Here is a 21,993-nt window from a genome sequence, read left to right as displayed (position 1 = left end):
CTCCCTATGTTGGCCGCCTCGGCCTCCCAAAGTGCTGGAATTATAGGTGTGGGCCACTGCACCCAGCATGACACTGTTGTTAATATGGCAATAATCTCCAAATTGATCTACAGAATTAACACAATTTGTATTAAAATCTCAGCTGGCTTTCTTGCAGAAATTGGCAAGCTGGCTCTAAGATTCATATGGACATTCAAGGGCTTCAGAATAGCCAAAACAACCTTGAAAAAGAACAAAGTTGGAGGACTTGCACTTCTCAATTTCAAAACTTAACTTCAAACCAATAGTAGTCAAGGCATACAGATCAATGGAATAGAATTAAGGGTGTAGAAATAAACCACATTCAATTGACATGGGGTGCCAAGACAATTCAAGGTGGGAAAGAATAGTCTTTTCAAAAAGTCATGCTGGACAACTGAATAACAACATGGAGAAGAATGAAGTTGGAACACTACTCCACCTCATATAAAAAATTAATTCAAAATGGCTAAAAACCTAAAGGTAAGAGCTAAAACTCTTAGAAAACACAGGGGTAAATCTTCCTGACCTTGAATTAGGCAGTGGTTATGACACCACAGCACAAGAAAGAACAACAAAAAATTAGGGCCGGGCGCCTTAGCTCACGCCTGTAATCCCAACACTCTGAGAGGCTGAGGCAGGCGGATTGCCTGAGGTCAGGAGTTTGAGACCAGCCTGGCCAACATGGTGAAACCCTGTCTTTACTAAAATACAAAAATTAGCCGGGCGTGGTGGCGGGCCCCTGTAATCCCAGCTACTTGGGAGGCTGAGGCAGGAGAATCACTTGACCCTGTGAGGCGGAGGTTGCAGGGAGCTGAGATCATGCCACTGCACTCCAGCCTGGATGACAGAGTGAGACTCTGTCTCAAGAAAAAAAAAAGAAAAAAGTTAGATAAATTGGACTTCTGTCAAAATTAGAATTTTTTTGTCCACCAAAGGACACTATTAAGAGAGGGTAAAGACAACACAGAATGGGAGAAGATATCCACAAGTTATATATCTGATGAAAGAATTAATATCCAAAATATTCAAAGAACTCCCACAACTCTACAATAAGAAAAATTAAAAATGGGCAAAGGACTTGAATACATATTTCACCAAAACAGATATACAAATGGTGAATAAGCACATGAAAATATGCTCAACATCACTAGCCTATAAGGAAATGTAAACCAAAACCACAGTGAGATACACTTCATACCCATTAGAATGGCTATTACAACAACAACAACAACAACAAACCTGGAATATAACAAGTGTTGATGAGGATGTGAAGAAACTGAAATCTCGTACGTTGTTAGTGGGAATGTAAAAGGGTGCAGCTGCAGTGGAAAACAGTGTGTTGGTTCCACAAAAACTTAAACATAGAATTACCATATAATCCAGCAATTCCACTCCTGGATTTAGATCCAAAATAATTGAATGCAGGGATTCAGATACTCATACACCAATGTTCTTAGCAGCATTATTCACAAAAGCCCAAAGGTAGAAACAACCCAGTGTCCATTAACAGATGAATGGATAGCCTAATGTGGTAATATTCTACACAATGGAATATTATTCAGCCATAAAAAGAAATAAAATTCTGGTTGGGACGGTGGCATGCCTGCATAGTCCCAGCTACTAGGGAGGCTGAGGTAGGAGGATTGCTTGAGCCCAGAAGTTTGAATCCAGCCTGGGCAACATAGTGAGACCCCATCTCAGGTAAAAGAGAAAGAGAGAAGAAAGAAAGAGGCCGGGCACAGTGCCTCAAGCCTGTAATCCCAGCATTTTGGGAGGCTGAGGTGGGTGGATCACTTGAGGCCAGGAGTTCGAGACCAGCCTGGCCAGCAAGGTGAAACCCTGTCTCTACTAAAAATACAAAAATTAGCTGGGCGCAGTGGCTCATGCCTGTAATCCCGGCTACTTGGGAGGCTGAGGCACAAGAATCGCTTGAACCCTGGAGGCAGAGGTTGCAGTGAGCTGCGATCGCGCCACTGCACTCCAGCCTGGGAGACAGAGTGAGACTCCATCTCAAAAAAAAAATATATATATATATATTATTTAGCCATGTGATTCCAAATTAAATATTGCTCAATCATTTTGTTGTTATTCTTCTCTACTTCTCTTTTGGTCCATATTAGCAAATTCTGTCCCTGCCTCTTCAAAATATAATATGAATCTGGCCGTTTCTCTCTCCCTCTAGCATGACCACACAGTTTAAGTTCCCTTTGTTTCCCCCTAGTCTTATGTGATAGTCCTCTAACTTCCCTACTTCTGCACTACACTCCACCCTACAGTCTGTTTTTCCCTGTACAAAACTTTCCCATTACTCTTTCATTTATTTAACAAATATTAAGCCTTTACTGTGAGTCAGGCACTGTTCTGGTAATTCAACAGTGACAAAAATTCAAGACCTCATTGGGTTTATATTTTAGTGAACTTAGAATATAATACAGAAGTATTAAGTGGCCTACAAGCAGCATGATCTGGTCCCAGGCTGTTTTTTTTGTTTGTTTGTTTTTTGAGATGGAGTTTTGCTCTTGTTGTCCAGGCTGGAATGCAATGGCATGATCTCAGCTCACTGCAACGTGTGCCTCCCATGTTCAAGCGATTCTCCTGTCTCAGCCTCCTGAGTAGCTGGGATTACAGGTGCCTGCCACCTTGCCCGGCTAATTTTTGGTATTTTTAGTAGAGACAGGGTTTCACCATGTTGGCCAGGCTGGTCTCCAACTCCTGACCTCAAGTGATCACCCGTCTTGGCCTCCCAAAGTGCTGGGATTACAGGCGTGAGCCACCAGGCCCGGCCTTTTTTTTTTTTTTAATTAATTAATTAATTTATTTATTTATTAATTTTTTTTTTTTTTTGAGACGGAGTCTCGCTCTGTCGCCCAGGCCGGACTGCGGACTGCAGTGGCGCAATCTTGGCTCACTGCAAGCTCCGCTTCCCGGGTTCACGCCATTCTCCTGCCTCAGCCTCCCGAGTAGCTGGGACTACAGGCGCCCGCCACCGTGCCCGGCTAATTTTTTGTATTTTTAGTAGAGACGGGGTTTCACCTTGTTAGCCAGGATGGTCTCGATCTCCTGACCTCATGATCCACCCGCCTCGGCCTCCCAAAGTGCTGGGATTACAGGCGTGAGCCACCGCGCCCGGCCTTAATTTATTAATTAATTTATTTTTTTTTGAGACAGGGTCTCACTCTGTCACCCGGATTGGAGTGCAGTGGCACAATGACATCTCACTGCAGCATCGACCTCCCGAGCTCAAGCGATCCTCCCACCTCAGCCTCCCGAGTAACTGGGACTACAGGCACATGTCACCATGCCCCACTAATTTTTGTATTTTTTGTAAAGATGAGGTTTTGCCATGTTGCCCAGGCTGGTCTCGAACTCCTAGACTCCAGTAATCCACCTGCTTCAGCCTCCCAAAGTGCTAGGATTAACCAGTGTAAGCCACTGCGCCCGGCCCAGGCCACCTGTCTGACTTCATTTCAGTCTGTGGTGTTACGGACAATGGTTATCTAAACAAAATTAGAATGCTGTTAGAAATAAGGAGTTATTCAAGAAATGCTCATGCCTGTATAACAGAGTGCTTATCAACTCCTCTTCCCCGGTGAGAGACAACCCAGGGCCTTATTTGGTTACAGTGTTCAACTCTTAAGACCAGGATTTCTGGCTGATGATTTCTTTCTGATTTCCTTCTCAAATTTGGATATGGCTCCTTGAGGCCTGGCAAGCAGATGCTTAATATTTGTTAAATGGGAAAGTTTTGTACAGGGGAGTGATGTGAACTGGGGTACAGGGAAGAATAGACTGTAGGGCGGAGTGTAGCGTGGAAGTAGGGAAGTTAGAGGGCTGTTACGTAAGTCTAGTGGGGAAATGGTGGGAACTTAAACTGTGGTCATGGTAGAGGGAGAGAGAAGTGGCCAGATTCGCTTATACTGGGTAAAACTTAAACTATCTTAGCCAATATATCTTTAAAAAAAATAGGAACAGAGTAATTACAATGAAAACTCTAATTCTGCAAAGAGGAGAATGGATGAAAAATAGCACACAGTTATTGTTGATCTGTAGCATAATTTATGTCCTGCTAGGCAGGAATATGGAAGACTCCTTGCCTGGCAGTAGAATGAGTTCCTTGGCGAGGTAACTGGGAAACTCGAGGCTCGCTCTCTATGGGGATCTTCTTTATGGTCTAGCATGGCTCCTGCTTCTTCCTGCTAGAGGATCTTACTTGTCTCTTATTCTCCATGGCTATGCCAGAGATGGGCACATGGAAATGCCCTTTCTGGGCATGCCCTACTCAACTTTAGCTGTGGTACAAATTGGAAACCTAGAAAATACAATAGATTGCTGGGCCTGGGGTTTCTTTGGCAATACGTTCCCATAAAAGCTCAGTAGCTTTTGGTCTGAGTTGTCACACCCAAAAAATGTTTTTCTAGATAAAATGTTTAAACCTGAGAATTTCAAACTCCTAGGAATCAACCTCAGTGCTGTGCCATCCCCTGACCTCCATTTAATGGTACTTGTCCAAGTAGCTCAAAATAAAAGCCATAAGAGCAGATGTATACCCATAATCTGAGCTTTGCCCTCTTTTCTGGGAAAATGCTTAGCTGGAGGTGCATGACAGAAGCCTGGAACTCTGGTCTTATTTCTTGCTAAATCTTTTGCCTCCTTGCCTCTGCATTAAGTTTAGTTTGGTGCTTTTTATTTATTTTTTTTGAGATGGAGTCTTGCTCTGTTGCCCAGGCTGGAGTGCAGTGGTACAATCTTGGCTCACTGCAGCCTCTGCCTCCTGGGTTCAAGCGATTCTCCTGCCTCAGAGTAGCTGGAATTACAGACTCCCACCACCACACCCGGCTAACTTTTGTATTTTTAGTAGAGATGGGGTTTTGCCATATTGGCGAGGCTGGTCTCAAATTCCTGATCTCAAGTGATCCGCCCACCTCAGCCTCCCAAAGTGCTGAGATTACAGGTGTAAGCCACCTCGCCCGACCAGTTTGGTACTTTTTCTACCCTATAGGGCTCTAAACTATGGGATTTTATATTGCAGGCTATAGGCAGAAAGAACTTCACTTAGCAAAGCGATATATTATTCTCTCTACGCTTTTAGATAGAACACTTTCAGATTAAGTTACTGAGTAACTTTCTTGTATTCTTTCTTGTTTTTTGTTTTGTTTTGCTTTTTGCTTTTTTTTGAGACAAGTCTTGCTCTGTCGCCCAGACTGGAGTACAGTGGTGTGATCTTGGCACACTGCAACCTCTGCCTCCCGGGTTCAAGCAATTCTCCTGCCTCAGCCTCCTGAGTAGCTGGGATTATAGGCGCCCGCCACCACACCCAGCTAATTTTTGTATTTTTAGTAGAGACGGGGTTTCACCGTCTTGTCCAGGCTGGTCTCGAACACCTGACCTCACGTGATCCACACACCTCGACCTCCCAAAGTGCTGGGATTACAGACGTGAGCCACTTTCTGAAGCCTACAAAAGGAGCCAACATATGCCAACATGCTGAATTTTTCCTATCATTTCTTTCTCTTCTTTTTTTTTTGAGACAGGGCCTCACTCTGTTGCCCAGGCTTGAGTGCAGTGGCACAATCATGGCTCACTGCAGCCTCGACCTCCTGCACTCAAGTGATCCTCCCATCTCAGCCTCCCGGGTAGCTGGGACTACAGGTGTGTGTCACCACACCCAGCATGTATTTTGTAGAGAAGGGTTTTGCCATGTTGCTCAGGCTGGTCTCTAAATCCTAGGCTCAAGCAATCCACCTGTCTATCTCCCAAAGTGCTGGGACTACAGGGGAGAGCCACTGCGCCCAGCACTACCATTTCTTCTCATACCACACTCCAGTGGGCCTGTGGTCTTACCCCAAAACAATAGGCAACAGATATTTCATGAATTCATAATTTCCAGTTTGGACTAGAGTCCTCATTGCCCTATCCCCACGCCCTCCATTCAGCCAGTTCCACATTTTACAGTTTGTAACTTCTACCAAATTCTGAGTCAGCCAAAATCGACTACTCTTCTTTGCAACAAAGAACCTCGTGATACAGGTCTTGCAGGCTGTGATTGTGTCACATGCTCATTCCCCAACCAGTCATTGTAGCTGGAGGGATACAAAACTTTGACAGGCTGGCCTTGGGACCTATGCCCACTCTTGAAGCTAGGGGCAAGATTGGTTCTATCTTAAGCCCAGGAGTGTCAGGGTTTCCCCATTTTAAAATCAGGGTGCTGTTACCACGAGAAGGAGGAAGGGAAGCTGGTGAAAAAAAGTATACTTCCAACACCTTTTAGCTTAGCTATTCTCAACTTTCCCATATTACTATAGAGAAGACAGATGTTGTTCACATTTTCGACACATTTCCACGGACACGCTCACAAAATAATATCAGTCGTTGGTAGCTACCCATAATTCTCCCCTTCTCTCTCCCAGAAAGCATACTGGAATGCACATCTATCAACATAATATTATTATAGGGATAATCTGCTGAATTGGCTCTAATTGTTAAACATGTCACTTTCAAACTGTTGGTACTTTTTTATTAGTAATACATTTCTTGTGACTTACTTTGTAATTAATTGTAACACATCAAATGTGTCACACCAATTGTTATTCATTTGTTAGGGGAGGGGTCTTATCACTGGCTTCTAGAGTACTCCCTAATTATGTCTTATTTTGTTCTCTTGGTAAAATTAAGCTCCTTCTTTGAGTACACATTGCTAGGTGACAAGGAGTACTTGTAGGATAATGGGGGATGTCTACTAGGATCAAATAATGCACCAAGCAGATAAGCTACACAGAATATCAGAAAGAATATATATTTTCAATTCAGAACATTCCTATTTTCCCTAATGACTCAAGAATTCTGTTTTCTTTCTTCAGAAAGTTATTGCATAATATTAACATAAAGTTAATTGAGGGGAAACTCAACATTATGGTAAAATCGTCTTTTCTAGTCCCATATTCTCCTATAGTCCATGAAGGGTATTCCTCACCTCACCTTTGTGCATTTCTTGGACAGTGAGGTCAGTAAGAAGTAAACTATTTTATTATGAAAATAATGTATGTTATTAAATTCCTAGCACACTTGGGTAAATTAACAGAGACTAGAACTAGCATTGGAATGAATCATCCTAAAATTCAAAATCCTTTTCTTTAAGACTAAATAAGGGTAGGGCGCAGTGGCTCACGCCTGTAATCCCAGCACTTTGGGAGGCTGAGGCAGGTAGATCGCCTGAGGTCAGGAGTTCAAGACCAGCCTGGCCAATATAGCAAAACCCTGTCTCTATTACAAAAAAAAACAAAAAACAAAAATTAGCCAGGCGTGATGGCGCGCCTGTAATCCCAGCTACTCAGGAGGCTGAGGCAGGAGAATTGCTTGAACGTGGAGGTGGAGGTTGCAGTGAGCCGAGATTGCACCACTGCACTCCAGCCTGGGCGACAGAGCAAGACTGTCTCTCTCTCTCTCTCTCTCACACACACACACACACACAGACTAAATAAGACAGAGAAACTTAAAGCAGCTGATTTTCAGGGGGCATGAAGCTAAGAGATGGTTACTTCAAAAGCTTGAAAAGGTACAACTGTAACAAGCAGGGACAAAGCTTCCTTATTTTGCTTTCATTTCTCCTTTTCCACGTTATTCAGGAGATGTTGCCTCGTTTGTGATGAAAGGGAGTCTGCATTCCCGATAAGACTTAGTGTTGTGCAGCATTCTGGATAAGACTTAGTTGTTGTGCAACTGTTGTGCAAAACATTTGCCTTGTTTTTTTGTTTTCAATCGCTATTGAAATAAATTTGCAAAAAGTGTGCCCCATTTCAGGGCAATTTACAGCTTTGCAAAAATCCAGTTTACAGCTTTGGAATGTCACAGGATGATGTGTAAGTTTATAAAATACCTTAAGTGATACAAGGATAGATTATCTAATGACATGTTCCCCTAATGTATTCAAACACTGTATGTGTTTACAGACTTTTGCATACCAGGAGGAGATTCAAAGAGAAACCTAAGGCTTAAAGCCTCAGAAGCCACTGCCAAGTCATGATGAACCAGAAATGAAGACAAACCATGTAGAATATTATAATTAGGAAAAGTTAATTCAATGAATGTTTATTGATTATTATCTAAATATGTGTTAAGCCACAGTGCAATACAAAGATGAGTAGGACAAGATCCTGTATTTTCAAGTTAGCTAGTGAGATAAAACTATCTTACGTGCTACAAATACAGAATCAGAATTTCGTGGTACAATTTGTATCGTGCAAGTGTAGCTAGAGGGAAGAAGAGTTGGGGTAGTTAGAGAAGGCTCTGAGGAGGCAGTACTTGAAGTGGATCTTGCAGAACAAAGAGGCCAAGGAATGGAGAGAGCCATTCTAGAAAGGAGGCAAGAATGATTGGGCAACTGGGGAGGTCCATGGGACCAGCATGGCTACATCAGAGGCTGAGTTTTCAAAATCTGGGGTTTTGTTTGTTTGTTTTTGTTGTTGTTGTTGTTGTTTGAGACTAGTCTTGTTCTGTCACCCAGGCTGTAGTGCAATGGTGCGATCTCAGCTCACTGCAATCTCCGCCTGCTGGATTCAAGTGATTCTCGTGCCTCAGCCTCCCAAGTAGCTGGGACTACAGATGAGGCACTAATTTTTATATTTTTAGTAGAAACGTGGTTTCACCATGTTGGCCAGACTGGTCTCAAACTCCTGGCCTCAAGTGATCCACCAGCCTCGGCCTCCCAAAGTGCTGGGATTACAGGCATGAGCCATCAGATTGCCTGAGCTCAGGAGTTCAACACCAGCCTGGGCAACACGGTGAAACCCCATCTCCACTAAACTACAAAAAATTGGCATGGAGGCGTGTGCCTGTAATCCCAGCTACTCGGGAGGCTGAGGCAGAGAATTGCTTGAACCAGGGAGGCAGAGTTTGCAGTGAGCCGAGATCGCGCCACTGCACTCCAGCCTGGGCAACAGAGCGAGACCCCCTCTTTAAAACAAAAACAAAAACAAATTGAGTAAAATGCTCAGGAAAGGGATCCAGAGCATGGGGAAAGAGCCTTGGAAGGCAGGGGCGCAGGACTTCATGCAGCAGGCAACAGAAAACATTTCTAGAAAACAGCATGATAAAAATGTGTTTTAGGAGCACAGTTTGGCAGTGATGTGCAGGATGAGATTCCACAACAGACTGGAATGAAGGTGCTGAAATAATTTAAATCATCAGAAAATATTTATTTAGTGTCTGCTGACCATCGCATCATATACTGTGGAGGACACGAAGAAGAGTAGGAGCTACAGGGCCCCTGTACTTTATGGGCTAACAGGTAGTTACATAAGGCAAAAATACAAATAATTATCATATTAAACAGAAAATTAAGAGGATGGTTTTTCTGCGCTCAGTCTATGTGTCTGCCACAAGGAGCCTCAAAGCCTCAAAGCTTGGTAGAAGCTCAAAAAGTGACATCCAGTTGGGGATAAAGAAAGGCTTTTTTTTTTTTTTGAGACGGAGTTTCACTCTTGTTGCCCAGGCTGGAGTGCAATGTGCGATCTCGGCTCACTGCAACCTCCGACTCCCGGGTTCAAGCAATTCTCCCACCTCAGCCTCCTGAGTAGGTGGGACTACAGGCATGCGCCACCACACCCGGCTAATTTTGTATTTTTAGTAGAGACAGGGTTTCGCCGTGTTGGTCAGGCTGGTCTTGAACTCCTGACCTCAGGTGATCCACCCGCCTCGGCCTCCCAAAGTGCTCGGATTACAGGCGTGAGCCACTGCACCTGGCCGAGAAAGGCTTTTTGTAAGAGCTATTTTCAGAGATGGGCCATTAAGGAGGAGCAGAATTTCAAGCAGCAGAAATGAGAAAAGGAAATTCCAGAAAGAGAGAGGCAACACGATAATTTTGGGAAAGCACTACTTTAAAAACAAGGTTGGTTCACTTCTAGGTCAATGGACAGTTTTGTCCTCTTGAACAAGTTAGCCTCTCAGAAGTTTAACTTCTCCTCTGTAAAATGAGGATAATAATATCTACCTCATAGAGTTGTGAAGATTAAATAATAATGCACAAAGAGTCTAGCACACTCATTGGCATATAATTGGCATCCAATTAATGTTAGCTAGGACTATTAGGATCATTAAGCAAGTCAACAGTGCAGAGGGTGACAAGCATAGATGATCTGGAAATATGAGGAAAACTAGTTGCTTAGAGTATAAGGTTCTTGTGTGAGGATAGCAAAGATGAAACTGCAAAGATAGAGCAATGCTTTTGTTTTGTACAGCATCTGAAATACTGGAATAAGGACTTTGGTTCAAATTAGTAGGCAATATGGAAGTATTGAAGAGTTTTGACACAGAAAATATTTTTGTTTGTTTTTATTTTTTTAGAAGGAAGGTCTTAGTCTGTCACCCAGGCTGGAGTGCAGTGGCAACCTCCTGCGCTCAAGGGATCCTCCTGCCTCAGCTTCTCAAGTAGCTGGGACTACAGGGGTGTACACTGTGTCTGGCTTTTATTTTTTGCAGAGACAGGGTCTCACTATGTTGCCCAGGCTGGTCTTGAGAACTCCTGGCTTCAAGGGATCCTCCCTCCCTTGGCTTCCCAAAATGCTGGGATTAAAGGTGTGAGCCACAGTGCTGAAACAGGAAATAGATCTATAATTATATAATAATATATTTTAAAAATATTATTCCATATCTATATCTATATTTATCTATATCTCTATCTATCTATCTCTATCTATATCTTTTGAGATGGAGTCTCATTCTATCACCCAGGCTGGAGTGCAGTGACATGATCACGACTCACTGCAGCTTTGACTTCCTGGGCTCAAACAATCCTCCTACCTCAGCCTCCAGAGTAGCTGGGACCACAGGCGCATGCCACCACACCCAGCTAAATTTTGTATTTTTTGTAGAGATGGGACCTTGCCATGTTACCCAGGCTGGTCATGAACTCCTGGGCTCAAGCAATCCTCCCGCCTCAGCCTCCCAAAGTGCTGGGATTACAGGCGCGAGCCACTGCACCTGGTCAAAACAGGAAATCTTTTGATCAGAACTCTGCTTTTGGAAAAGCGATGAGGGCTTAGACCTGTGTGGTCGAATGCAGTAGCCATTAACTGCAAGAAGCTATTGAGCACTTGAGATGTGACACTGAAAAGTTCAAATTGAGATGTGCTGTAAGTATAAAATACAAAACTGGATTTTTTTTTCTGAAACAGCTTTTTATTAAATGGCAAAGCAGAATTGCAGCACAATTTAAATGTCTGTAAATTAGGTCACAAAAGGGATGCAAAATGTTTGCAGTTTGAATATTCTAATTCATACAGGTAAAGTCATTCATCAACTCTTACACCAATACATAAGATTATTCCATGATTAAAAGTAGCCCAAATCTAATAACCATAGGCTATATTAGTGGATCTCTTTTCCTATTATAAGATTTTAGCATTACTTCTGATACTGATTTCTTTACCAAATGGAACCTATAAATTTTTAAAATTTGAGGCCAGGCTGGGCGTGGTGGCTCATGCCTGTAATCCCAGCACTTTGGGAGGCCATGGTGGGCAGATCGCTTGAGTCTAGGAGTTTGAGACCAGCCTCGGCCACATGATGAAACCCCGTCGCTACAGAAAATAAAAAAATTAACCAGGTGTGATGGCACGTGCCTTTAGTCCCAGCTACTTGGGAAGCTGAGGTGGGAGAATTGCTTGATCTTGGGAGGCAGAGGTTGCAGTGAGCCGAGATTGTGCCACTACACTCCAGCCTGGATGACAGAGGAAGACCCTGTCTCAAAAAATAAATAAAATAAGATAAAACTTGTTAAAGGATAATAACAAAGGATGACTGCAAATCAAGTAGTTGAGTTGACAGAAAATTCTGAGAGAACAAGTAAGATAAAATACTGAGAAGATTGTCAATAAGCATATATGCGAAACACTCCTATTTCATTCACAATTCTAATACTACTGCACTGCGAAGGAATTTTGCAAAAGTTGATCTGCTGGGTACAAATAAATCTAGAGACCAAACTCTTTGTAACTGTTCTCTTCTAGATGTGGCTTACATAAAGTTAGTCAAACTTAATCCACTTCCGTATATATTTCCCAAAAGATCTACTCTGTGCCAGGGATAACAAAATCTGGAGTGAAAATATTCACAGTTCGTCACTACTGTTTACCAAGTACTTTTTCACCCTATTTCTATTTTTCCTCTAAATTTTGTATTTTAAACATACACTTGACCAACTTATCTTTCCAGATAAGATGAAGTGAGTTACTTTGTGCAAAAACAAATTTTTAACAACAAATCTTCCTAAGTTGACAATTCAGCCTCAAAGAAAAATCTTTATTTTTATAGCTTCCCTCTGTTTTAAATGGATTAAAGAGAAACCAGCATTCTTGTCTTAATACTAAATATAAAAAATGACAAGCCCTAGCTGTTTCTCAGATACAGATACTTTCTGTATCTTATTTTGGTTAAGTTTCAACAATTAAAGTGCAGGTTACTCTCTGAGATGATTAACTATTAAAATGACTTTTACAAATGTGAAACCAATTCTTTCCTTCGAGGAAGGTAAAGAGGAAGAGGCAAGTGGAGAAGAGGCATAAGATGACGGACAGGGTACATGAGGCTACGCATTCAGTGTATGATTCCGGTCACTTTTTCACAACGTGTGGTTATTTTTCTTGTATATCTTAGTAAGCCTCTAATAAAAGACAGTGCTAAATCTACAAATCAAGGAAAATTTGATAAAACATTCATCTTTAAGTTTCATAAATATATGCAATTCTTTTTTTTTAAATGCAGTCTCGCTCTGTCACCAAGGCTGGAGTGCAACGGAGCAACCTCAGCTCACTGCAGCCTCCACCTCCCAGGTTCAAGCAATTCCCCTGCCTCGGCCTGCCGAATAGCTGGGATTACAGGCATAAGCCACCACGCCTGGCTAATTATTTTGTATTTTTAGTAGGAATGGGGTTTCACCATGTTGCCAGGCTGGTCTCGAACTCCTGACCTCAGGCAATCCACATGCCTCCGCCTCCCAAAGTTCTGGGATTACAGGCATGTGCCACTGCACCTGGCCAATATGTGCAACTGTAATGATAAAGTTTCTACAATTCATTTGCATGTTTTCCTTTTTTTTTTTTTTAATTTATTTTTTTATTGATAATTCTTGGGTGTTTCTCACAGAGGGGGATTTGGCAGGGTCATGGGACAATAGTGGAGGGAAGGTCAGCAGATAAACAAGTGAACAAAGGTCTCTGGTTTTCCTAGGCAGAGGACCCTGCGGCCTTCCGCAGTGTTTGTGTCCCTGGGTACTTGAGATTAGGGAGTGGTGATGACTCTTAACGAGCATGCTGCCTTCAAGCATCTGTTTAACAAAGCACATCTTGCACCGCCCTTAATCCATTTAACCCTGAGTGGACACAGCACATGTTTCAGAGAGCACAGGGTTGGGGGTAAGGTCACAGATCAACAGGATCCCAAGGCAGAAGAATTTTTCTTAGTACAGAACAAAATGAAAAGTCTCCCATGTCTACTTCTTTCTACACAGACACGGCAACCATCCGATTTCTCAATCTTTTCCCCACCTTTCCCACCTTTCTATTCCACAAAGCCGCCATTGTCATCCTGGCCTGTTCTCAATGAGCGGTTGGGCACACCTCCCAGACAGGGTGGTGGCCGGGCAGAGGGGCTCCTCACTTCCCAGTAGGGGCGGCCGGGCAGAGGCGCCCCTCACCTCCCGGACGGGGCGGCTGGCCGGGCGGGGGGCTGACCCCCCCACCTCCCTCCCGGACGGGGCGGCTGGCCGGGCAGGGGGCTGACCTCCCACCTCCCTCCCGGACGGGGTGGCTGCCGGGCGGAGACGCTCCTCACTTCCCAGATGGGGTGGCTGCCGGGCGGAGAGGCTCCTCACTTCTCAGACGGGGCGGCTGCCGGGCGGAGGGGCTCCTCACTTCTCAGACGTGGCGGCCGGGCAGAGACGCTCCTCACCTCCCAGAGGGGGTCTCGGCCGGGCAGAGGCGCTCCTCACATCCCAGATGGGGCGGCGGGGCAGAGGCGCTCCCCACATCTCAGACGATGGGCGGCCGGGCAGAGACGCTCCTCACTTCCTAGATGTGATGGCGGCCGGGAAGAGGCGCTCCTCACTTCCTAGATGGGATGGCGGCCGGGAAGAGGCGCTCCTCACTTCCTAGATGGGATGGCGGCCGGGAAGAGGCGCTCCTCACTTCCTAGATGGGATGGCGGCCGGGAAGAGGCGCTCCTCACTTCCTAGATGGGATGGCGGCCGGGCGGAGACGCTCCTCACTTTCCAGACTGGGCAGCCAGGCAGAGGGGCTCCTCACATCCCAGACGATGGGCGGCCAGGCAGAGACACTCCTCACTTCCCAGACAGGGTGGCGGCCGGGCAGAGGCTGCAATCTCGGCACTTTGGGAGGCCAAGGCAGGCGGCTGGGAGGTGGAGGTTGTAGCGAGCCGAGATCACACCACTGCACTTCAGCCTGGGCACCATTGAGCACTGAGTGAACGAGACTCCGTCTGCAATCCCGGCACCTCGGGAGGCCGAGGCTGGCGGATCACTTGCGGTTAGGGGCTGGAGACTGGCCCGGCCAACACAGCGAAACCCCGTCTCCACCAAAACCAGTCAGGCGTGGCGGCGCGTGCCTGCAATCGCAGGCACTCGGCAGGCTGAGGCAGGAGAATCAGGCAGGGAGGTTGCAGTGAGCCGAGATGGCAGCAGTACAGTCCAGCTTCGGCTCCGCATGAGAGGGAGACCGTGGAAAGAGAGGGAGACCGTGGGGAGAGGGAGGGGGAGGGGGAGGGAGAGGGAGAGACTGCATGTTTTCATAGACTAATATAATATACAAACTTAGGGAAGTCTCCTGTTAATGCTGTTAATTTTGCCTCACCTGACATTTTCTTCATAAATATTCAATGAAGCCACAAAGATGCTGTAACTTTTTGGAATCTGTCCAAGTTTAAAAGAAAAAATTATCAGCAGCAATTCTGTAAAACAGAAGTGTGTCAATTCCTTACTTTCTTTTGCTTTCGGTGTCAGTTGTTTGAAAAACACCAGAAGCTGACATGAGATTTTCTATATGTTGTCCAACAACTTGGTTTTCTGATTTTAGCTTCAGATTTTCTTCCTTACCTGTGTTTGCTCTTGCAGAGAGATCTTCAAGTATGAGTTGGAATTTCCACACTTGATTAATAAGTCGTGTTGTTTTCCTCTAGTTCCACCTGATTTTCAGCATCAACTGCATCCATGTCAGCACTCATCATCTTGGGTAACAAACTTTTGAGCCTTGGACACAAAATGCATGATGAATGTTCTTCCAGTTTGAGGGGCCAGAAGTGGGAGGGTTTGGGCGGATGCCTCAGACCTGGACACTTGGACCAACTGACAACGGTGCTCTCCAAAACTGAATTTTGAAGATGATACCAAAAATATCTCATTAATAATTTATTGATTATAAATAGAAAGGATAATGTTATGGATATTATCATTGAGTTAAATAAAATGTGTTTTTCTTTTTTCTTCTTTTTTTTTTCCTTTTGAGACAGAGTCTTGCTCTATCCCCCAGGCTGGAGTGCAGTGGTGCGATCTTGGCTTACTGCAACCTCCGCCTCCTGGATTCAAGCGATTCTTCTGCCTCAGCCTCCCAAGTAGCTGGGACAACAGGTGCGCACCACCGTGCCCAGCTAATTTATATATATATTTAATAGAGACGGGGTTTCACCATATTGGCCAGGCTGGTCTCGAACTCCTGACCTCGTGATCCGTGATCTGCCTGCCTTGGCCTCCCAAAGTGCTGGGATTACAGGCGTGAGCCACTGCGCCTGGCCTAAAATGTGGCTTAAAATTAATGTTATCTCGCTTTTTTGTTTTGTTTTCCTTTTTTTTTTTTCAGATGGAGTCTTGCTCTGTTGCCCAGGCTGGAGTGCAGTGGCGTGATCTCGGCTCACTGCAACCTCTGCCTCCTGGGTTCAAATGATTCTCATGCCTCACCTCCTGAGTAGCTGGGATTACAGGTGCCCACCACCATGCCCGGCTAATTTTTGTATTTTTAGTAAAGGCAGGGTTTCACCATTTTGTCCAGGCCGGTCTCAAACTCCTGACCTCAGGTGATCCGCCCGCCTCAGCCTCTCAAAGTGCTGGTATTACAGGCGTGAGCCACCGTGCCTGGCCCGTGTTTTACTTTTTAAATATGGCCACCAGAGAACTTAGATTTACTGTGTGCCTTACACTGCATTTCTGTTGGACGGCGCTGTTTCAGAGGTTGTGGAGGATGGTAAAATCATGAATCAGGGACTCAGGGACTTGCCCTTCCAGCATAGTGAACTACATAATTCAGTCCAGCCTTCCCACTGAGGGCAAATAGAAAAGCTGGAAAATACATCAAAAGTATCTACTTGAAGCCCTCAGAGACTTAACAAAGTAGCAAGGACTTACTGGGACAGATTGAAACCTTACATGGCATTGCGGTTTGAAGTGTAATGATGGAATATTTAAGTAACCAGAGAAAGGCTAGCATCTTCCTAGCCTCAGTAGAAAATTCCATCTGCATCTTTATTTTATTTTATTGTTTTCATACCTGCTTCTGGATACCATGTGTCTTTCTATTGAATACCTTCTTACTCTAGCTATCATAAATGTACAAAAATTAATTTGTAAGACCCCCATCACTCAAAGCAATAATAATTTATCACTTGCATTCAATAAAAAAAAATTCTGAGTATCTACTCTATAGAATTGCATGATTGCCTGCCATACCAACACCCTCAGGAATTACTTTCCCTTTCCTCTCTATTGAATTAAAGGTTGATATGAAAGAAGCCAATTATATTTTAGTGAAAGGCAACATAACATAGTGGTTAAGAGCATGAACTCTGGTGCCAGGCAGCCTGGATCCTGATTCTGCCTCTTCCATTTACTAGCAAGGTGATCTTGGGCTAGGGTTAGGGCTTTTGTAAAATAGAGAAAAGAATAATACCTACCTCGCAGGATTTTTGTGGTGATGAAATGAGTCAATATATGTAAAGTGCTTAGAGCAGTGCCTGGCCAGAGTCAGAATGTCTGCTACATGAGAGTTGGCTACCACTGTTGAATCAGTGGGAATGAAATTCAGGCTCATTCAATAGAAGCCCAGTCTCAGGAGCTGCTGGAACAAGTCTAATTGAGGTCAAGTCTATTATGTTTACAGCAGTATTTCTAGTACTGTTTTCCATTGTGTACACATAATTTTTCAGCTACATTATGGACTAAATCATATGAATTTTTATTGACATGTTTAAGAAACAAATAACCACTTTATAATACTTCTTAAGGAGAGTATATTTTTGTTTTTTTTTTTGTTTGTTTTTGAGACAGAATCTCTGTCGCCCAGGCCGGAGTGCAGTGGCGCCATCTCGGCTCACTGCAACCTCTGCCTCCCAGGTTCAAGTGATTCTCTTGCCTCAGCCTCCCGAGTAGCTGGGATTACAGGCATGCACCACCACACCCGGCTGATTTTTGTATTTTTAGTTTCACCATGTTGGCCAGACTGGTCTTGAACTCCTGACCTCAGGTGATCCACCCACCTCAGCCTCCCAAAGTGCTGGCATTACAGGCATGAGGCACTGCTCCCGGCCTCTATTTTTGGTTTTAAACAGCCTCTTTACATGTCTTTTAAAACACAACACTTTTGCAAGTTGGAAACTGCTTGTATGTATAGGACTTAAAATACACTGGTTAAAGAAGGCTATTACTGGCCTGCACTTGCACTTTACAAATAAAATGAAGCAACTGTCATTCATCTTTAGCCTTAGCACCACCTTAGGTATCTTCACTTCCTCTGCCTCTTCTGTTATTGCTGCCATTGGTAACAGGTGCCTCTACCAAAGGGCTGGGCTGACTTACCAGGTAGATGTAAGAAGGAGAAATGACTTAAAGGAAAGTTGTTCTGTGCTCACCTTTCCTGTTTTTAATGTTTGTGGCACTATGCCCACACTTCCACCACTTCCTTCCACAATGATCTTGCTTAAGCCTCCCTAAGTTCCAGTTTCCTCATCTATAGAAGAGGGACACCGCTGCTACCAACACCATCTCATTGGTACAGTTACAATTGATGTTTTCAATGTCCCCGACAATACAGTTAAATAGAAGCTTCAGAATCCTGCCTCATCATCGTACGTTCAAAAGCTTTCATTCTCATTGGTTCTGCAGATTCCTAGGGAAAATTAGTGAACCGTGAAAAGACTCTCCCGTTTCTAGCAAAGGCATTTCTAATATCTTGAATAAAGGCGCTACATAGTTCTCTTAAAAGTAGAGCAACTAATTTGATATTAGTTGTCCTTGAGATTAAGCCATGTTTAGGCATCCATCTTCTATAACTCCCAACTAGATTTTCTCAACCTAAGATAGGATTTGTGCATTTTTTTCTTTCATATCTTCTTAAATACTTCAAATATGTTAGCTGACTGACTAGCCAAGATGCCAAGTTGGGTAGCTTACACCTCTGGTTGCCAAACTTTGGTCACCAGATTCCTGCAAATCCTTCATTCTTTCATCGAATATTTACTGAGTGCTAGATACTGTTCTAGGTGCTTGAGATACATCTGAACAAACAAAAATCCCTGTTTTGTGGGATATTTGTCCTTGACAATATTTTCATTAGTCTTCAGTTAAATGATTAAAATATAGACAATGGAGTGAGACTTTTTTGTTCTGTTTTGTTGGTTTGAGACAGGGTCTCTCTCTCACTGTCACCCAGAGTGGAGTGCAGTGGTGCCATCATGGTTCACTGCAGCCTTGACCTCCAGTGCTCAGGTGATCCTCCCACCTCAGCCTCCCGAGTAGCTGGGATTACAGGCACACACTACCATGCCCAGCTAATTTTTTGTATTTTTATTAGAGACGAGGTTTCGCCATCTTGCCAAGGCTGGTCTTGAACTCCTGGCCTGAAGTGATCTGCCTGCCTCGACCTCCCAAAGTGCTGGGATTACAGGTATGAGCCACCACACCCAGCTGGAGTGAGTTTTTAACAAAACTAAATATAATCAACTTCTAAATTCTGAGATTATTTCCTTTTTATCCTTTTTTGGTGTTAAAATGCTCCTTCAATTTTGAAATGATGAGTGAAGATAATACATTTTAAATACCCTTATTTGATAAACTAAAAAAAAACCCTTAAGTTGGCCCTCTAATATTTTCTTCAAGTTTTACCATTCTGTAAAATCTGAAACTGAGAAACTATAGTAATTCAAGCCAGTATTGCGACTTCTTACAATGCCAAGTCTTGAACAAAATAAGAAAGTTCAAAGAAAAGGAACTTAAGCAGATGCCGTGCCTTCTGAGTCCAGCCCAGTTGCATGCTAGTAAGTGTTTAACAACTGGCTCTCCAGATTAAAACAATAAATAGGCTGGGCGCAGTGGCTCAGATCTGTAAACCTAGCACTTTGGGAGGCCGAGGCAGGCAGATCACTTGAACTCAGGAAGGTGGAGACCAGCCGGGCAAATGTGGTGAAAGCCCATCTCTACAAAAAAATACAAAAATTAGCCGGGCGCGGGCCGGGCGCAGTGGCTCACGCTTGTAATCCCAGCACTTTGGTAGGCTGAGGTGGCGGATTACCTGAGGTCAGGAGTTTGAGACCAGCCTGGCCATTATGGTGAAACCCTGTCTCTACTAAAAATACAAAAAATTAGCCAGGTGTGGTGTCGCATGCCTGTAATCCCAGCTACTCAGGAGGCTGAGGCAGGAGAATTGATTGAACCCTGGGGATGGAGGTTGCAGTGAGCTGAGATCGCGCCACTGCACTCCAGCCTGGGTGACAGAGTAAGACTCTGTCTCAAAAAAAAAAAAAAAAAAAAAAAAAAAAAAATTAGCCAGGCATGGTGGTGGGCGGCTGAAGCAGGAGAATCACTTGAACTTGGAAGGTGGAGGCTGCAGTGAGCTAAGATCACGCCACTGCACTTCAGCCTGGGTGATAGACTAAGACTCTGTCTCAAAAAAATAAATAAAATAAAATAAAATAAAATAAAATAAGGGAGACCTGATTTGTAGAGTTTGCTTATTTTAAGCTACCAATGCAATGCTACTAAAGATGGAGTGAGGATGAAGTGGGTATAAGCAGCTTTCGTGAACGAGTGTCAATACAAGCCAGCTCTGAGACACCGCTGCTCCAGCCTGGTATGAAATACAATATCTAGCCCAGGCATCAAGGATGTTGGTGTGGACTTCAAGTTTCAGTTCCACCACTTATTTCCACAATGGTTTTAGACAAGGCTTTCTAAGTCCCAGTTTCCTAAACTATAGAATAGGGATACTATTGCTACCACTACCACCTCATATGTTGTTGGGAGGATCAAATAAAATAATGGGCAGGAAAGATCTTCAGTGCCCTGTACAATGCCTGGCACAGAAGATGCATAATATCTGTATTTAATTCATTAAAACATATCGATTTGGGTATTTCCTCTTTTCCATATTTGCTAGAAACTTCCTATTTTGAAAAAGAATAACAGAGTTTGAGAGTTCAAAGATAAAATGCACAATTTAATATCATTTATTGAAAGCACAATTTTGCTGCAAGTGCTTTTCTAAAAAGAGTACTGCCAGAGTAGCTCAACAGTCTTTATTTAGTCCAAAAGATGGCCAAGCGCGGTGGCTCACGCCTGTAATCCCAGCACTTTGGGAGGCCAAGGCGAGTGGATTAACTGAGGTCAGGAGTTCGAGACCAGCCTGATGAACATGGAGAACTCCCCCCCCCATCTCTACTTAAAATACAAAATTAACTGGGTGTGGTGATGAACGCCTGTAGTCTCAGCTACTTGGGAGGCTAAGGCAGAAGAATCACTTGAACCCAGGAGATGTAGGTTGCAGTGAGCCAAGATTGCACCACTGCACTCCAGCCTGGGCGACAGAGCCAGACTCCATCTCAAACAAAAAAAAAGGGCGGGAAATAGAGAACATCAAAACATCTCTGATGTTCTTCCCTTTGCTTCTTGAGGTGGCAGCTTAGACCACTGATTCTTAGCCATTCTTCTTTTCTTTTTCTTTTTTTTTTTTGAGACGGAGTCTCGCTCGCGCCCAGGCTGGAGTGCAGTGGTGCGATCCCGGCTCACTGCAAGCTCCGCCTCCCAGGCTCACGCCATTCTCCTGCCTCAGCCTCCCGAGTAGCTGGGACTACAGGCACCCGCTACCATGCCCGGCTAATTTTTTTGTATTTTTAGTAGAGACGGGGTTTCACCATGTTAGCCAGGATGGTCTTAATCTCCTGACCTCGTGATCCGCTCACCTCAGCCTCCCAAAGTGCTAGGATTACAGGCGTGAGCCACCGCGCCGGCCTCTTCTTTTCTAATATATGCATTAAAAAGTTATAAATTTCTTTCTAAGCACTGGTTTAGCTGGATCTCACACATTTTTATATGTCATTTTTAAAAATTATTGCTCAGTTCAAAATATTTTCTAATTGCCATTATGATTTCTTCTTCTTAATAACCATGGTTATTAAGAAGTATATCACTTAAATGGGAGGTTTTCTAATTACATTTTTGTTATTGGGCCTAGCTTAATCTCACTGTGGTCAGAGAACATACTCTAAATGACTTGAATATTTTATGGCCCAGCACATACAGAGTCAATTTTGTTAAATATTCTATGTGCCCTTCAAAATAAATATTCTGAGGCCAGTGCAGTGGCTTGGGGCTGGGGTCCCAGCTACATGGGAGGCTGAGCTGGGAGGATCACTTGGGCCCAGCAGTTCAAAGCTGCCGTGAGCCGTGATCCTGCCTCTGCTCTCCAGCCTGGGTGAAAAAAAAAGAAAAAAAAAAAAAAAGGATTCTGTTGTTGAGGACAGGCTCTAGATATCTTAATTAGGACAAGTTCATTAATCGCATTATTCGAATCTTCTATATCGCTATTAATTTATTCCATTTGCTTATTCTACAAGCTATTGAAAGAGGTATCTCAAAGCCTCCCATTATGATTGCAGATTTTATCTATTTTTCCTTTTAGCTCTGGCAATCTTTGCTTTATGGGACTC

The 21,993-nt window shown here is 43.9% G+C and overlaps 1 pseudogene, besides 6 other annotated features; it reads right to left on the bottom strand.

The window, feature by feature from the left end:
• Nucleotides 1,093-1,237: an enhancer, noted in NCBI's record as "145 bp 1:150766964 sequence used in MPRA reporter constructs". NCBI's record gives its function as "activates a minimal TATA-containing promoter with rs2864871 allelic activity by MPRAs in C283T melanocytes and UACC903 melanoma cells {active_cell/tissue: C283T | UACC903}" and the evidence as "EXISTENCE:reporter gene assay evidence [ECO:0000049][PMID:36423637]".
• Nucleotide 1,165: a transcriptional cis regulatory region, noted in NCBI's record as "rs2864871 or 1:150766964 MPRA-significant variant associated with a GWAS melanoma risk locus at 1q21.3". NCBI's record gives its function as "allelic transcriptional activity by MPRAs in C283T melanocytes and UACC903 melanoma cells {active_cell/tissue: C283T | UACC903}" and the evidence as "EXISTENCE:reporter gene assay evidence [ECO:0000049][PMID:36423637]".
• Nucleotides 11,180-15,304, bottom strand: LOC100132571 (short coiled-coil protein pseudogene; annotated as a pseudogene).
• Nucleotides 13,065-13,921: an enhancer, noted in NCBI's record as "NANOG-H3K27ac hESC enhancer chr1:150754208-150755064 (GRCh37/hg19 assembly coordinates)". NCBI's record gives its function as "activates a minimal SCP1, AML or CMV promoter by ChIP-STARR-seq in primed H9 embryonic stem cells {active_cell/tissue: H9 hESC(primed)}" and the evidence as "EXISTENCE:reporter gene assay evidence [ECO:0000049][PMID:30033119]".
• Nucleotides 13,922-14,779: an enhancer, noted in NCBI's record as "H3K27ac hESC enhancer chr1:150753350-150754207 (GRCh37/hg19 assembly coordinates)". NCBI's record gives its function as "activates a minimal SCP1, AML or CMV promoter by ChIP-STARR-seq in primed H9 embryonic stem cells {active_cell/tissue: H9 hESC(primed)}" and the evidence as "EXISTENCE:reporter gene assay evidence [ECO:0000049][PMID:30033119]".
• Nucleotides 19,254-19,398: an enhancer, noted in NCBI's record as "145 bp 1:150748803 sequence used in MPRA reporter constructs". NCBI's record gives its function as "activates a minimal TATA-containing promoter with rs6660084 allelic activity by MPRAs in C283T melanocytes and UACC903 melanoma cells {active_cell/tissue: C283T | UACC903}" and the evidence as "EXISTENCE:reporter gene assay evidence [ECO:0000049][PMID:36423637]".
• Nucleotide 19,326: a transcriptional cis regulatory region, noted in NCBI's record as "rs6660084 or 1:150748803 MPRA-significant variant associated with a GWAS melanoma risk locus at 1q21.3". NCBI's record gives its function as "allelic transcriptional activity by MPRAs in C283T melanocytes and UACC903 melanoma cells {active_cell/tissue: C283T | UACC903}" and the evidence as "EXISTENCE:reporter gene assay evidence [ECO:0000049][PMID:36423637]".

This window comes from Homo sapiens, chromosome 1, assembly GCF_000001405.40.
Source record: "Homo sapiens chromosome 1, GRCh38.p14 Primary Assembly".
In the NCBI taxonomy this organism is placed as follows: domain Eukaryota; kingdom Metazoa; phylum Chordata; class Mammalia; order Primates; family Hominidae; genus Homo; species Homo sapiens.
Note: the sequence above shows the minus strand (reverse complement) of the source record. Positions and strands in the feature narration are given on the sequence as shown.